The following is a 15,138-nucleotide window of genomic DNA, read 5'->3' on the forward strand; positions in this document are numbered from 1 at the left end:
TTTAATAGAGATGGGATCTCACTGTATTGCCCGGGTTGCTCTTGAACTCCTGAGCTCAAACAATCCTCCTGCCTCAGCCTCCCAAAGTGCTAGGGTTACAGGTATAAGCCACCATACCTGGTCTTTTTTTTTTTTTTTTTTTTTTTTGAGACAGGGTGGTCTCACTCTGTCACCTAGGTTGGAGTGCTGTGGAGTGGTCACAGCTCACTGTAACTTCAGACCTTCAGACTCCTGGGCTCAAGCCATCCTCCTGCCTCACCTTCCCAAATAGCTGGACTATGGGCACATGTCACCATGCCCCATTTTTTTGTTTTTTGTTTTTAATAAGTTTTGTTTTGTTTTGTTTTTGTTTTTGTAGAGACAGGGTGTTGCTATGTTTCCTAGGCTGGCTTCCTACCTTGGCCAGCTAAAGTGCTAGATACAAGTGTGAGCCACCACACTCAGCCTGCTCCAGCATTTTAACCAGAGAAGTTACCATTTCTTCATCCTCCAAAAACTTTATTGTGTTAGGAGATTAAAGAGAAGACACTAGGCTTTTCCAAGAGATGGCTGCATTTGTATGGATGCTGATTTATTCTTAAACCTTTAGACATATTTTATAACATTCTCATTGGTGGTCATTGGAAGAGAAGCCTTCCCATTCCTAGCTCACAAGTTTTCTTCTCAAATATTTTAGCCTTGAATATTTATATAGACACACACATCTATATATATGTATATTCATATATATATATAAATGCTTCAAAATGTTAAATTAGACATCCCCCCGCCCCCCTTCCCAAGTCACTACCACTCCAGGGAAGAGCTTGGGAGGCTTGTTTCTCCTGGTGGGTGTTTGATTGATGGAGGGAAGAGCAACAGGAAGAAATCACCATAAACAGGTTTATGTAATTTGCAGACTACAATAACAGCTAGTTTCAACTTCATGTTTGATTTCATGATACCATCCTGCTTTTCATTGTAAGAATTCTGCATGTCATAAGTTTTTGTCTCAAGCAGAGCAAAACATTTGTTTTTGAAAACTGTGTGATAACTCCACGGATCACCAGGGACATCTGAAAGACTGATATTGAGATTGGCTTTATCTTTACCAGGACTTGCAAAATCAAATGCCCCCAAGGGCTAGGCAGGCTGGGTGGAGACTGTCAAACTGGGTGTTTAAGTCCCATTTCAAGGGGCAGCTTCTAATGGGCTCCAGCCTATTGTTGCCATAAGGAAGCGCGTGCCGTGGCAGATATTAATTGTTTGCTATTTTCTGGTTCCTTTCTCCTCCATGGTCCATGGGAGGACTGAGATTCCTTGCATCTTTGAAATTAAGGATGGCCATGTGACTTGCTTTGGCCAATGAAACGTAAGCTAAAGTGATGTATGTCACTTCAGGAGGAAAGATTTCACTGCTAGTGTTCGGCCCTCTCTACTTCTTTTTCTCTGCCATGGTGGCTGTAAATGCACTTGTTGATATGAAGGTATAAATACTGAGGCATCATCTATAAGACAGCTGCCCTGGAGAATCACCTCAATCCACAGTTGTCTTGTGTGAGTGGGAAGTAGCCTTTCTTTTGTTAAGCCAATGAGTTTGGGGGGATATTTGTTACTGCAGCAAAACCTAGCTTATCCTGACTATTACATATGCCCAATGTTGCCTGACTTTGATATTTTTAAAAGAGAAGTTTGAAATCTAGATTTTTTTATATGAAATCTTTGCTATATTAAAAAAATATTTTTTTCTACAATTATTTTTTTGAGATGGGGGTCTTGCTATGTTGCCTAGGCCAGACTTGAACTCCTGGGCTCAAATGATCCTTCTGCTTCAGTCTCCTGAGTAGCTGGGACTACAGGTGAGCACCACCATGCCTGTCTTTTTTAGAAAAACAAATTTAAGGTTGAAGCCAGAAAAGCCAGATTTTCAGCCTGCCAGCTACGCGTTTGCAATTTTGGTCTATACAATTTGAGTAGAGACTGGAGCAGCAATCCTGTCTGAACTCCTACAGTGCTTATAGCCTGTGTCGCATCATTAGCTCTTAGCTACTCTTTGTCTTGCTATTCATTAGTTTGTAAATCATTTTTCCTAATTAGATGGGACATAGAACAGGTGAGAAATCATGTCTTAAACTTTGTGTACCTTAAAGGTGCACAATAGGTTTTCAGTATATACTAGGATAAAGACTAATTGATTGGCTGATTACTCAGAACTATCACTTTCTCCTTTGATTTTGGAGGAGCAGGTCTGGGGAATTCATTATTTTACCTCACCATTTCAGTTTTCCCCTCTTTACAAAGAGCTCGGGATTCATCAATCTCCATTAAACTTCAAAATGAAATAGTCCACATAAGTCAGAGATGCAAAACCCACTGTATTAATTAGGACTTTTCTAATTGCAAGTAATAGGAAACCCAAATTCAAACTGCCTTGGGTAAGACATAATTTACTGATTCCTATAGCTAAAACCTGCAGAGGTCAGGATGATGTCAGGCATGACTGAATTCAGGAACTCAGGCAATGTCATTGGAACTTGATCTGTCTTTCCCTCCGTGGCTTGGCTCTACTTTTCCTCCCATTAGCTTCACTCTCAGTAGTTCCCTTTCACGTGGGGCTTCTGGCAGCTTCTCTTTCCAGCAGATCCACAAAATTCCCAGTCTTGTGAGATTTTCTTGGGATATGTGACGATCTCTCAATCAGCCCATTGACTAGGGCTGGGCGTGTTAATCAGGACTTTTCTAGTTGTGATAGGAAACTTAAATTCAAACTGCCTTAGGCTGAGTCACTTGTCTGTCCCTAAGAGCCAGTGGTAAATCAGCTCCATCCAGCATCCAATGTCTGCATAAAGGACCCAGTTTATGGCTTCTCCCTCTAGCCACTCCCAGAGGCAGTGACTACGTAGAGGGGCCTAGTAGGGAGTATGTGGCGGAAGGGAGGCCTTGAAGCTGTGTTCTTATAGCGTCCTATATGAAACTGAAAAGCATCAATAGCAAATAACAGAGAAGATCTAATGGAGATTATAGAGAGGTAGAGGGGACTAAAGGCCTCCCAAGTCACCCCTTGGTGCCACCCCTGTAACATATTTAATTTGTGGGGGAAGCAAAGGCCCAGTAGGACTGCTGGTGGCCCAGCCACAGTCCAAAACAGGCCCTAGAGAGGACGCGCTCTAACCACACACCCTAATTATTAGTCCCTGAATATAGATCAGTTTAGTTTATCCAAAGCCCCAGCTGAAGACACATCAAGTACTATTGCCTCTGTTCCATGTTTTGTTCCATATAAACATCCAGACACAGGTCTCATGGGAGAAACATCATGAGGCAGTTTCACAGTCCCTGGCTTTGATCTTTACGCTGTAGTAAAGGTGTCATTGGCCTTTCTGGGGCGAAGAGTCATGCTCTTCCACAAGAGTATCAAATTACTGCTCATTTTCCAATGTATATTCTTTCAGGGCCTTGCTTTCTTCTTACCTGCCCACACCAATGCTGTGAGGGAGACTGCTGATGGCGAAGGTGAAAATGGTCAGGCAATGTCATTGGGACTTGGTCTGTCTCTCCTTCCATTAGCCCACTTCTTTTATCCAGAAAGATTTCACTGCACTGGGGAAATAAGGAGAATAAAGTCTCATGCACTCACTCACATGAGAGAGACATGCATGTTCGGGTTTGCTCAATGGCACCCATCTGTCTCAAGTCTTGTTGTTTCTTTCACTCTGAGCATCTGCACTCCAAGAAGGCATGAACTTTTTCTTTCACTTCCTTTCTTCTATGGGTGATGACCTGACATCACTCTCAGAAGGAGGCCGAAAGTCGCTGAGTATAAAAATCGTCACTCCTATCTGGCTTAGGCAGAAGGTAGGGGGCTCGATGGGTACCCAGGAGCTCTGGAGGTAGGAGATGCCATCTAGGGAACCCCGTTCTACCTGAGGGCTCTGTGTCTCTGCCTTTGTATACTGGAGGGCACCATGGATGTCGCCTTCCCTCTGGAGTCCCCTTCACCATTTCCTCTCTAGAAGGATGGAAGGTGGGAGTGGGGTTGGCTATTGAAGCTGGAACGGGGAAGAAGGCCACTTGGGGTCTGCTGAGGGCTGGGTCTGCTCACTGCTGTGTCCGGAGTGGAAAGGAGAAGCCCGCTGGAGCAGGGTACAAGCCCAAGGGTCAAACTGCGCCAGCAGTAGAGCAAGCCGCGGTCTCAGGCTGCAGCCCTAGCAGAGGTCAGGCTGGTGCAGCCAGCCGTCTCGGGGCCTAAGGGCGCTGGCGGGGGCCGGTGGGTAGGGGTAGGAGTCCCCAAATGCCTTCATCTCAGCCCATCCTTCTCCACCGAAAAATAAAGCAGGCTGGCGAGATCGCCTCCTCACCCGCTCAGTCCTGAAGTGTCCAAGGATGAAACTGTGCGGAAATTCTCCCTGTCGCTCTCAGTTTGTGGGGGAAGCGCCGGGACTGAGGTACATGGTTAACACAGGCTGTGCGTGAAGGGGCTTTTGACTTTTCCCCCGGCTCCGGCCTCTCGCGTCTCTCTCCTAGGGCTGCGGCTGCTGCTGCCTGGCGGGCACAAGCCGGGCGGCGGTGCGCGGGGGGTGCGCTTACATAACCGCTCGCCGCGTCCTGCTTTCTCGAGCGCTCCTGCACCGTGGGGTGGCGGAGCCGGGGGACTGCATGGAACCCGGGACGCCCCCGCGGGGAGAGGAGCGCGAGCGGCCGCGGGAGGAGGGCGCCCAAGGCGGCGGGGGAGGTTAAGGTCAGTGGGTGTGAAGCGCCGGCTCCACACCCCCTCCTCCCCGGTCCCCTCCTTCCCTTCCTCTCCGTCCCCCTCTGACGTCTGGAGCTGGCAGCTCGGCCGGTTCCGCATTCCCGACCCCTCCCCGCCGCCCAGGGGCCGCTATATAGCCGGGGCTGATGCAACCCGTCCCGCCGCCCGCCACAGCCTGCGGGAGGGACGCTCGGCGGCCGCGACGGGGGGCGCTGGCGGCGGCGGACGCTGCAGCGGCGGCGGGGCTGGCGCCGCGGCGGCTCCCGGGCCGGGACAGGCCTGGGCACCGGGCGGAGCTCCGCGGCCGGGCGGCAGCGGCGCGGAGCGGGCACGGCGCCTGCAGCCGGGCCCCGGCCCCGGGGGCGCCGCCTCCCCCCGCACCTTCTGCACGGTGGGTGCGAGGGCGCGCGCTGGGGGCGCCGGGACGGGCGGGGCGGGGCAGGGCGCGGCGCGGGCACCTGGGACGGCCGCCCCCGCACGGGCGGAGCGCGAGGAGCCCCAGCCCAGCCCCGCGGGGAGGCTCCCGCAGCCCAGGGACCTCGAGCTTTCCCCGCGCCGGGCGCTGCAGCCGGGCCCCTCCCGCGAGGCGCCCGGCAGCCTGAGGCTTCCTTTTGGTTCCCGCCCCGGGACGGGAGGCTCCGTCCGCTCCCTGGACAGCCGGGGTGCTCCCTCCTTCTCCCTCCCGCGCTCTCCTCCCCCGTCCGTTTGCAGGGAGGTGCTCTCCTCGGGCGGCGGGGAAGGCGGGGTGAGTGGGGAGAAAAGTGCCCGCGGAGATGGGCTGTGCGGGTGGAGGTGGAGGGTGAAGGGCCAGGGAGGTGCGGGGTTGGGGTCGGGGTTAGATTGTGGAGGGATGACAAGGACCTCCTGGCAGTGAGGAAGCGCGACTCCCGGAGGACCCGGACCCGGAGGAGAGTATTGAGAAGGGCTCGGGATTTCCATCCAATGAAGGCAGCTTCTCTCATGGCCATTGCTTCGGAGCTCTGGGCTGGGAGGGGATCTAGGGGTGGCCGGGGTCCCCTTTGGGCTCTCCTGTCTCCCACGCCAGGTTATATAAGGAGGCAAGCAGGCTCCTGTAGGTAACCAGCCTCTCCCTTGCCCAGCCCAGCTTAGAAGGCTCTCCTCTGCTCCTCCCTTCAAAGGAGGTTGTCGAGGGGTAGGGGTGCAGTGGGGGGTGGGAGAGTGTAGGGGTGGATTGGGCCTTCCACCTGGATCCCTGGACCCTGGGATGGCAGAGCCAGGCTTTGCCTGGGTCAGTAGGAGGAGCAGGGAAGATGAGGAGGCTGGGGAAGATGGGGAGGTCCTGGCTCTTTTGCAGGGATGGAGAGGCTGGTGGAAGGAGAAATCAGCCGACCCCCTTGGGTCATCTCCAGTTGCAAGATGGCGTGGCCCTTGCCCAGGGTGCTGCCCTCCCTGTTGGAATCCAGGGCATGGGGCTATGGCCCGACCACGTGTGCTCAGGGCAAATGTGCTCAGGTCTATATCTCAGAAAGGGCTTGCAGCCTGCTTAGGCGTGTGTACCCAGGCTTAAATCTTGGTGGTCTCTCCCTAGGGTCTTAATTGGAGGAGCATCAGGAATTGGGAAGCTTTGAACCATGTTTGGGTACATTTGTACCCAAACGTCCTTTAAGCCCTTGGTAGAAACTGCATTCGCGTATCATCTCCCTTCCCCCCAACCTTCCTTCCCTGAGGGTTTTAAAAAACACTTCCCATTGCTTTTACCTTTCCAGCAAATCTGGCTGCAGCTTGGATGGATAGCTTATCTTCCTTTGCAGGTTTCTAGGGGAGAGTTTAACCAGGTATCAGGTGTGAGCATGGCTCTGATTTTGTATAAACCTGAGGATCGAGGAAGAGAAGCAAAATCTATTCTCACACCTCTGGGTGGTTAAGGTTTTGCCTTGTTTAGAGCAGGGAGGATGGATTTCTCAAAGACTCTTCTGTTCCCTTCTACTTTGGCTTTGGTTCAGAGCTGCAGGCAGCTCCAGAATCTTCCTGAAGAGCTGGGTGCTGTGTGATTTGAAGGGCTGCAGGAAGTCATGGGTGTGTAGACCTCTGGCTTTTCTCCTAGGTGGGCTGCAGGAAGTCATGGGTGTGTAGACCTCTGGCTTTTCTCCTAGGTTGGCTGCAGCCACCTCCAAGGAGATGTGTTGCAAAGTGGTGACAATGCCCCCTAGGAAGGGTTTGGATAAGGGTCTCCCCACTCATCCACTGCCTAACTTTTGCAGCTACCAGGGAATGCTCCTCCTGACTCCCTGGGTTTGTTGTCATCTCCCTACCTGTTTGTAGGATGTGTGGGCATTTTTTTCCAACCTGCAGAATCCCTGGCAGGAATAGGCTCTCTGGGCCTTGTTTGTCGTGGGGCTACTGGTGTTGCAATGGGCTGTCTCTCTCGAGTGTCTGTTTCCAGCTCCACTCTGGAAAGAAAGGGGCCAACGCCGACTCTAGGCCGGCCTGCTCTGTATTCATTCAGCTCCAGCTCAACTTGAGCAATCAGAGCCAGGGTTGAGGGCAAGCTACATTCTTTTCTGCCTTTCTGCTGCAGGATGCAGTTTGCTTTTTTTCCATGCGAATGAATTATGTTTGAAACCGAAATGGGAGGAAGAGAAAAATGGAGTGAGTGTATATGGGTATGTGTGTGTGCATACCTATATAGGCAGGGGAGGGCAGCAGGCACATTATTTTTCCATTTTCCTTTAATTAAGGCTCTGTGGAGGTGTGTTTGAAAACAGAGGGTCTCCTATGCCTTTGAGGAGGGTGAGAACACTGTTTTGGCTGCGTCCCGGGCCATATGCAGCGTATGGTGGCCAATGAAACCGGGCCTGGCTCATTCTGTTGCTTGTCTTGGCAGTCGGTTCCGTGGCTTGTATTACCAGCTCTGGAACTTAGGGGCTGCCAAGCTCCATGTGCCTGTGTATGTGTGTGTGCGTGTGCATGTGTGTGCACATGCGTTCTTGTGTGTGTGTGTGGTTTGGCCTCTCGGAACTCAGCAGAGACAAATGCCTTAGCGACCCAGTCTTGGAATTTTCAGACTGTGTTTCTTTACTTATTGCTGGCTGTGGGAGGCCTGGCCAGAGCCCACCATTCTTAGTTGTTGTTGTTTTTTAGTCTGTTTTCTTGCTGCAGCCCACGGGATTTAGTTGCAGAGCTCCATTTGCAAAGCTTCAGCTGGCCAGTGGCATTTTTTAAAAAAAAGACCAGGGCGATTATCACACCTTGTGTGTGTGTCTGTATTAGGTGTGGTAGTGTTAACCCCTGCCAGCCACCAAGGACCAGAGCTGGCGTGAAGTAGAAGGGAAAATAGAAAGCTTGTCCAATGGTTGTACGCTCCCAGCTTCCTCTTGCTGCCTGGGTTAAAGATTCCTGGCAGAGATAACTTCATATGTATTTATTGAGCGCCTACATTAGGCAGAGGACAAAGCGATGTTATAGGCAAGGCCTTGGAAGCATTTCTCTGGTCTCCAGGGAAGAGCAGGAGTTCCCTGGGGGTTGGTTCCAGGTTCTTCTATGGCTGGGATGGCTGTGCAGGGATCACGGCTGCCAGTGTTCAGTGGCTTCTCTTGAACCCAGCTACCGCTCCTTGTCTTCTTATGAAGCAGTGCAGGGATGGAGTAGAGGGCACAGGAGATGCTGGCTGTCTGCCTTGGGGCAGAAATGGAAACCTAGTTCTTGATGGCACCTTGTTGCCAGTGTCTGTGCAGCTGTGTTCTGGCCTGCAGGGTGGAGGAGACCTTAGAGGAAACCGAGGCCGAGGGCAGGTGCTGGGCCCCATTTCTGCACCTTCTACCCAGCCCTGACCTGGCACCCTTTGTTTCTGTTCTGCAGTCAACTGCCAGGATGCAAGATGGTCCTGCCCCCTTGGGGTTTAGAGCTGGAAAGTGGGAGAGCGGAGAATCCTCTGGGGAGAATCCTCTTCATGGCTGCAGGAAACAGAGACTAGTCCAGAAGGGACCTTGAGGGGTCATCTGGCACTAGTGCCCCTCCAGGAAGGAAGGCCCTGGTGGCCACACTGACTTCACTCTTACTATGTGCAGGCACTGTTCCAGGTACTTTCCAAGTATTAACTAATTTAATCCTCTTGACAGCCATACAGGGCAAATAACATTGTTATTCTTTACAGCTGAGGAAAGAGAGGCACAGAGAGGTTAGGGAACTTGCCCAAGGGCACACAGCTAGTAAGAAGGGACAGAGCTAGGATTCACACTCAGGTGATCTGGCTCCAAAACCGCCACTCTTAACCCCCCCTTCCTCTTGGCCTGCAGAGCTGGGGACAGCCATCTGAAGAGGGCCTTTTGCTGCTCGCCTTCACTCTCAGTCTTGGGGCCTTCCCCATCATCTTGCTTCTCGCCTTCTGGATCTCCTCGACTTTTGGAAGCCGCGTGACCTACGTCATTCAGATTCCAAGAGAGAGGTCATCCTGGGTGATTCCTTAGCTCCAAGAAGAGGCTTGGTGGTTGATTCTCCAAGATTCATGGTAGCAGGTACTATGCGCCATGACCCCTGGCCTGGCACCTTTCTGACCTTCTCTGTGGACTCCTGCCCTCCGCATCCGGTTCTGTCCTGGGAATCTTCCCAGGCTCTGGCTCCCAAGGTCCCCCACTTCTCTTGTTGAGTCTCAGTCGCCATTGCCCATGCCCTGCCGTCGACTTCCAACCCCTTATTTCTCATGGGGCTTGCCCCTGTAAACTCCCTCCCTCCTTGGCTTGTCACTCTCACCTCCGCATTCTCCCAGCACCAAACCTTGAACCTTAGACCGCACCCACGTGCACACCCATTCCTATTCCTCGTGGCAGCCCAAGCCAGCTGCTGGCCCGGAGGGGAGCTTACCTTCTCAAAGAGGCCCAGGAGTTTTATAGCCTCCTTGAAACCTTTGTTTCTATGGACAGAAAGTTCATGATGCAGATGCTAAGTTTCTCTTAACCTGTTTCTTTTTATTTACCTTTGCCATTCTGGATGAAAATGCTGATCGTTGGGCACTTTCTAGCAAGAACGGCCCTTGTACCTTTGACCCATAAAACAAGACTGTTATCATTTATAGACACTTCCATTAAAAAAAGATTTAAGGACCGGGCACGGTGGCTCACGCCCGTAATCCCAGCACTTTGGGAGGCTGAGGCGGGTGGATCACCTGAGGTTGGGAGTTCGAGACCAGCCTGACCAACATGGAGAAACCCCGTCTCTACTAAAAAATTAGCCAGGCATGGTGGCGCATGCCTGTAATCCCAGCTACTCAAGAAGCTGAGGCAGGAGAATCACTTGAACCCGGGAGGCGGAGGTTGCGGTGAGCTGAGATTGCACCACCGCACTCCAGCCTGGGCAACAAGAGTGAAACTCCGTCTCAAAAAAAAAAAAAAAAAAAAAAAAAAAAATGTAAGGGGTTAGGTTGGTGCAAAAGTAATCGCGGGTTTTGCCATTATGCTCAATGGCAAAAACCGTGATTACTTTTGCACCAACCTAATATTTTACAGATTTACACACAAAAAATGAGAGAGGAAAACCAGAGGAAAAAGCTTAATAAGTTACCTTTAGCTTTTCTTTTCTCTGAAATGACACTTCATGTTAGTATCTCCCAGGAGGGTCTATTTTCTAGACTTGACATGTTTTGTGGCTTTTCTTCTGCTTGTACAATGCAGTGTCCTAACTGTGTGCCCACAGGTCACTGAGGAAGAGTAGGGAGTACAGCTCTCAGACCTTTTTTTTTTTTTTTTTCAAGTTCTTTCCTCTTGGATCCATCTGGTCCCCATTTTCTTCAAGTTGGCTTTCAGGGAGCTGCATCATAATCTTAGGATCAACAACAGCTTAGGGTCCACGGTGACCTTCTGAACCTCGTCTGTCTGATTCATGCCTTGCTAGTCAGTCGCCATCTTGGATGTGTGCTTCACCCAGCTTTCCTTCATTGGCTGGCTTCCAACTTATTCCTGGTCAGTGTCCCGCATTGCCAGTCTTCTTGGATTCCAGGCCTATATTTTGAGGCATAAGCCCCTTTTCCCAATGTTGGTGTTCTGCCAATGGATAGAACTTAATCCTTATTTATGCCCCCTAGTTACTCATGGAGACACTGAGGATGTTTATCTGCCTTTCAGACCTCCTGGGCCCTGAAGGGAAAAAACTCTGGGTTCTTCTGAAGCTTTTAGTGCGTAGTTCTTCTTTTCCTACTAAATTGTTTCCGTATGGAACAACCAGTGTGGGAGATGATTTCACCTCTTGTCATCTTTCCTAAGTCTTCCTTGAAGTGGGTAAGTTCCTTCTGGCTGTTACTGGTTCCTTGGTGCTGCCACCTCCACTGCCCCCCACTCCCCCTTTTTTATAGATCCCTAAATCACATCAAATTGTTTTATTTTTCAAATCACTAAAGTTGCCTTTCTGCCTTAGATCGTCAGCCAGCTCTTTGCAGTTAATGAGGATCCAATTATGAAAGGCAGCTGCTCAGCTCCTCCATCTTCTATCCCCCACCCCCAGAAATGTTTAGGATGACTTCTGGCTGGTGAATATCAGCTGTTGTGGTTGTCTCCTAGGAATGGCATGGCTGAGGGCTTTGTGGTTTATATCTGAGCAGTTAGGGGCTCTTTTGCAGGGGGAGGAAAGACAGGGGGACTTTTGCTTCTACAAAGGAAAGACTAGTGCCTTGTCTCCTGGGTGAGGCTTGTCATTGGGATGGATTCACAGGCGAGCAGAAATGGCAAAATTTATGGGGCCCGTGCTCCCAGGGGGTGGCCGCTCCTTCAGGGGGTTCCACAGTAGCAGAAAATGCATTATATTTTGGGATCATTTGTTAGTGTCTCATTTCTACCATCTGTATGAGAATAAACAGAAGCTGCAAACAGAGCCTATCATTCCCGGAACAGAATGGGGTCTGGCTTCCATCTCCCAGAGATGGAAGGCTTAGGCAGGGAAATACACAGAAGCCTCTGGAGTGTTTTTCTTGGGGTCTACTGTGGGAATGAATAACTTGGAGGTGAAATTACAGCCTGATAACGAGCATCTAAGCTTCCAGAGATGGATTCTTACACCATTTGCTGAATTTTGCTCTGCTGTGAATTTGCTGTCATTTGTTCATTCATTTATTCACTTAGTTATTATTTCAACAAGTATTATTGATGATGCTTTCTGCGCCAGAAATGATGCTAAGCACTGGGGTCACCCGGGCAACAACCAGCCCTGACTGCTGCTTACCACCTGGAATCACAGCGCTGCTGGCCGCGTGGCCACATGGTTTGTTCCCGGCACAGTTTTGCTACAAGGAATAGGTCTTCCTGCTGGCCCCTTCCCTGTTCTCCTTAGAGGAGGCCAGGGGAGACGTGCAGCTCATCTACAGGGCCCTGGAGCGGCCTCCTAGCGTGGCAGGCTGCAGCCCTCTCTGCATTGCAGGTTCCATTCCAGAGGGCTGAGAGGGAGCTCTCTTACTGCCACTAGGCTCCAGTCCAGCTCAGAGTTTGGGGGATCAGAGAACATTGAACACCCACATGCGAGAGGTCTCAGGGGCTATTTCTGTGTCTGGGCTCCCATGCAGGCTACCGTGGAGTTATTCAGGGAACTTCCTAAACCTGGATCTCCATGGGGGGTGGAGGGTCCTCTGTGCAAGACAATGACCCTCTACTGTGGGCTGGTGTCTGAAAGCCCACCGTGAGAAAGTCATTCCTTCTGCTGAAGGCGTCGTTACCTATTGGACCCCAGAAAGGGAAACAAAGAAGGAAGGGTGAGAAAGCTTTGGTCTAGAACCCTGGGACCAGGAGTCGAGCCCTGGCTCCAATCCTCTCCAGCTGTGTGACCTTGGGGAGGCCATTTAGCCTCTCTGAGCTTTAGTTTCCTCCTGTCAAAATGAGGATGTGGTTTAGATGAGCACAGGGCCTCCTTCAGCTCTAAAACTGTAACTCAATGTGATTGAGCCTCAGATCTTTTTCTGATGGCCCAGGGGACACGGGGTGAAGGAAGGAGAGAAAGGATGTGAGTGGGAAGGAGTGCTAAGAGGACCGGGTATGGGAGGCACAGTAGGTAGAGCACAGTTAGAGGAGCCTGAGGACACCAAATAAAAACTCTGGGGCAAGCCAGGGAGCTATGGGCAGAGGCTTTATGACAGATGCAGCAGGCATGCTGAGGATGAAATGGCGGGTCCACTTCCCATTCCCAGGCACCTCGCTTTAGACACCTTGCTTTAGACAAAGTGATGGCCAGTGGAAACCTTTGTGCTTGAGGGTGCAAGTTACTCACATGCTTTTTCTCTTAGAGAAATAGAACTTATTGGGAAATAGACTCTGGACTTGGACAGGGAACCAAATTTCACCTTCAAAAGTGAAATGTAGATGGAGAATATGGCTTGCACTCTTGGCCAAAACAGGTTCACAAATGCCCCTCTCTGGAATGATCTAGACCTGGGAAGCTGAATGGGGGCAGGTGGTTGTGGGTCACCCTCCAAGGCCACTCCTGCAGGAGACAGAGAGCCCAAGAACCATGTGGCCATCTGAGTACATTAACTGCCCAACGGAGAAGTATTGTCCGATGGACATCAGATCTTCCCTCTTCTGCCAAATACATCTCTCTCCATGGGAAGAGACAGGTAAAGATGGAAGGATAGGCCAAAGATTTTCCCTCAGGAGTGCTAAGCCAGCGAATATTTTGATTTTATGGCCCTGGGCAGAAAGGTGAAAAGAGGGAGAAATGATTTCCTTTCCAGGACTAGAATCTAAGAGCAGTTTTGTACTAACATGCTACTTAAAAGGCTGCTTCAAAGCTAAGACTGCACATCTGACCTCCATATTCCTAGTGCCTGCTGGCCTATAGTAGGTGGTCAGTAACTGGATGGATGGGTAGGTAGGAGGAGCCCTTTAAGGGACTGGCTTTATTGGCAGACCAGCTTTCTTCACTGCCATCTGTGCCTTGAAATGACCATTTCTTACCCATGAGCTTCCCCCAGTAAAGGGAAGGAAGAATTCCCTTGGTGTTGACCTGTCTAATTTACATCCTTCTTCCATGTCTGAATCTGTCTTCCCTTGTACACCTTTTTGGTTGGGCAGAGCTGGAATATGTGTTTGCTCTGAGAATGAAGAGAACATGGAGGTAGCCGGGCGCAGTGGCTCACGCCTATAATCCCAGCACTTTGGGAGGCCAAGGTGGGCAGATCATTTGAAGCCAGGAGTTCAACACCAGCCTGGCTAACATGATGAACTCCTGTATCTACTAAAAATACAAAAATTAGCTGGGCGTGGTGGCAGGTGCCTGTAATTCCAGCTACTCGTGAGGCTGAGACAGGAGAATTGCTTGAACCCAGGAGGCGGAGGTTGCAGTGAGCTGAGATCGTGCCACTGCACTCCAGCCTGGGCAAAAAAAAAAAAAAAAAAAAGCATGGAGGAGTTTTCTGGTACTGGGTTCCACAGGGAAAGCACATGCTAATTAATTCCACCTGCTTTGCCTCAGTCCCTTCCTCATAGATAGCACACACACTCACCTTTAACTTAGATTTGCTTCATCTCCTACTCAGGGTGTCTTAACAAATATGCAGAATAGGATGTGTGATTGGAGGGGAGGCACCATGCCAGACCAAAAATAGCTTCCTCTGAAACAGGTGTGAAGGTGCTTGAGGTTCTGCCGTTATAATTCGCTCTCTTCAGAGACTGTATGCTGCCATTGAAATCCCAGCTCCACCAATTTTAACTGTGTACAACCTTAAGCGAATTATCATTCTAAGCTTGGCTACTTCCTCTGTGTAATGACCTCTGATCCAGCCTAATGGGACTGCAGGATTACCATGGGGCCTGGCACATACCAAAGGCTGAATACATGTTGCCTATGATTGGGTCAAGCATTGCCTTCAAAATAAAAAAGGCAGACACTTCTGGCAGTGCCAAGGGTGACCTTGGTGTGAGTTAATTGAGCAACTTTTCCTCTATAACAGGAAGGACTTTACGGCAGGAAGAGCAGCTGGGTGGGAAAGGGATTCAGGGGAACATTGGTGAAAGAAGCCACAGTCCTGGCAAGACGAGGGACTTGAGCCCTCCTGGAGCCCCCAACCTGGCTGACTGTCCTGCTCTTTTCCTGCCCACTCCAGGCTGGCCTGCCACTCCTCCTGCTATGATGCCTGGGCAGATCCCGGACCCTTCGGTGACCACAGGCTCCCTGCCAGGGCTTGGCCCCCTGACCGGGCTCCCCAGCTCGGCCCTGACTGTGGAGGAGCTGAAATACGCTGACATCCGCAACCTCGGGGCCATGATTGCACCCTTGCACTTCCTGGAGGTGAAACTGGGCAAGAGGCCCCAGCCCGTGAAAAGTGAGGTGAGCGAGCCTTTTACCCCTGGCAGATTCCAGGTCTGGCCTTAAACCCACCATGGGACCTTAACCTTGCTGTTCAAAGTGTGGTCTGAGGACCAGTATCATCCGTACCACCCTGGGGTTATCAGAAATGTGGAATCCCAGGCCTCGCC

The 15,138-nt window shown here is 50.8% G+C and overlaps 1 protein-coding gene and 1 long non-coding RNA gene across 10 annotated transcripts in view, besides 9 other annotated features; one reads left to right on the forward strand and one right to left on the reverse strand.

Annotated features, from left to right (window-relative positions):
- Window positions 1-534: 534 nt before the first annotated feature.
- On the reverse strand, window positions 535-4,523 carry JDP2-AS1 (JDP2 antisense RNA 1). The gene is made up of 2 exons (NR_184172.1): window positions 4,338-4,523; window positions 535-3,579 (listed from the first exon to the last, which is right to left on the reverse strand). It is a non-coding gene; the product is annotated as a JDP2 antisense RNA 1 (long non-coding RNA).
- Window positions 3,659-3,758: an enhancer, noted in NCBI's record as "active region_8745". NCBI's record gives its function as "activates an Ori minimal core promoter by ATAC-STARR-seq in GM12878 lymphoblastoid cells {active_cell/tissue: GM12878}" and the evidence as "EXISTENCE:reporter gene assay evidence [ECO:0000049][PMID:35858748]".
- JDP2 (Jun dimerization protein 2) overlaps window positions 3,811-15,138 on the forward strand; it is a 47,165-nt gene continuing 35,837 nt past the window's right edge. The window contains exons 1-4 of one of the 9 annotated variants that reach the window (XM_047430942.1): window positions 4,890-5,120; window positions 8,549-8,769; window positions 13,059-13,277; window positions 14,766-14,989. In XM_047430942.1, the coding sequence (XP_047286898.1) occupies window positions 13,172-13,277; window positions 14,766-14,989 (330 nt within the window). In that variant the 5' untranslated portion in view covers window positions 4,890-5,120; window positions 8,549-8,769; window positions 13,059-13,171. Of the gene's footprint in view, window positions 3,870-4,591; window positions 4,718-4,889; window positions 5,121-5,224; window positions 5,475-5,957; window positions 8,770-8,985; window positions 9,205-13,058; window positions 13,278-14,765; window positions 14,990-15,138 lie in introns of those variants that run through there. The other 8 variants (XM_047430944.1, XM_047430943.1, XM_017020973.2 and 5 more) reach the window with 8 other exon arrangements.
- Window positions 4,009-4,338: an enhancer, noted in NCBI's record as "active region_8746". NCBI's record gives its function as "activates an Ori minimal core promoter by ATAC-STARR-seq in GM12878 lymphoblastoid cells {active_cell/tissue: GM12878}" and the evidence as "EXISTENCE:reporter gene assay evidence [ECO:0000049][PMID:35858748]".
- Window positions 4,359-4,418: an enhancer, noted in NCBI's record as "active region_8747". NCBI's record gives its function as "activates an Ori minimal core promoter by ATAC-STARR-seq in GM12878 lymphoblastoid cells {active_cell/tissue: GM12878}" and the evidence as "EXISTENCE:reporter gene assay evidence [ECO:0000049][PMID:35858748]".
- Window positions 4,359-4,943: a biological region, named in NCBI's record as "H3K27ac hESC enhancer GRCh37_chr14:75894221-75894778".
- Window positions 4,386-4,943: an enhancer, noted in NCBI's record as "H3K27ac hESC enhancer chr14:75894221-75894778 (GRCh37/hg19 assembly coordinates)". NCBI's record gives its function as "activates a minimal SCP1, AML or CMV promoter by ChIP-STARR-seq in primed H9 embryonic stem cells {active_cell/tissue: H9 hESC(primed)}" and the evidence as "EXISTENCE:reporter gene assay evidence [ECO:0000049][PMID:30033119]".
- Window positions 4,609-4,878: a silencer, noted in NCBI's record as "silent region_5945". NCBI's record gives its function as "represses an Ori minimal core promoter by ATAC-STARR-seq in GM12878 lymphoblastoid cells {active_cell/tissue: GM12878}" and the evidence as "EXISTENCE:reporter gene assay evidence [ECO:0000049][PMID:35858748]".
- Window positions 5,129-5,308: a silencer, noted in NCBI's record as "silent region_5946". NCBI's record gives its function as "represses an Ori minimal core promoter by ATAC-STARR-seq in GM12878 lymphoblastoid cells {active_cell/tissue: GM12878}" and the evidence as "EXISTENCE:reporter gene assay evidence [ECO:0000049][PMID:35858748]".
- Window positions 5,369-5,538: a silencer, noted in NCBI's record as "silent region_5947". NCBI's record gives its function as "represses an Ori minimal core promoter by ATAC-STARR-seq in GM12878 lymphoblastoid cells {active_cell/tissue: GM12878}" and the evidence as "EXISTENCE:reporter gene assay evidence [ECO:0000049][PMID:35858748]".
- Window positions 14,311-14,814: an enhancer, noted in NCBI's record as "H3K27ac-H3K4me1 hESC enhancer chr14:75904146-75904649 (GRCh37/hg19 assembly coordinates)". NCBI's record gives its function as "activates a minimal SCP1, AML or CMV promoter by ChIP-STARR-seq in naive H9 embryonic stem cells {active_cell/tissue: H9 hESC(naive)}" and the evidence as "EXISTENCE:reporter gene assay evidence [ECO:0000049][PMID:30033119]".

This window comes from Homo sapiens, chromosome 14 (assembly GCF_000001405.40).
Source record: "Homo sapiens chromosome 14, GRCh38.p14 Primary Assembly".
NCBI classification, from domain to species: Eukaryota; Metazoa; Chordata; class Mammalia; order Primates; family Hominidae; genus Homo; species Homo sapiens.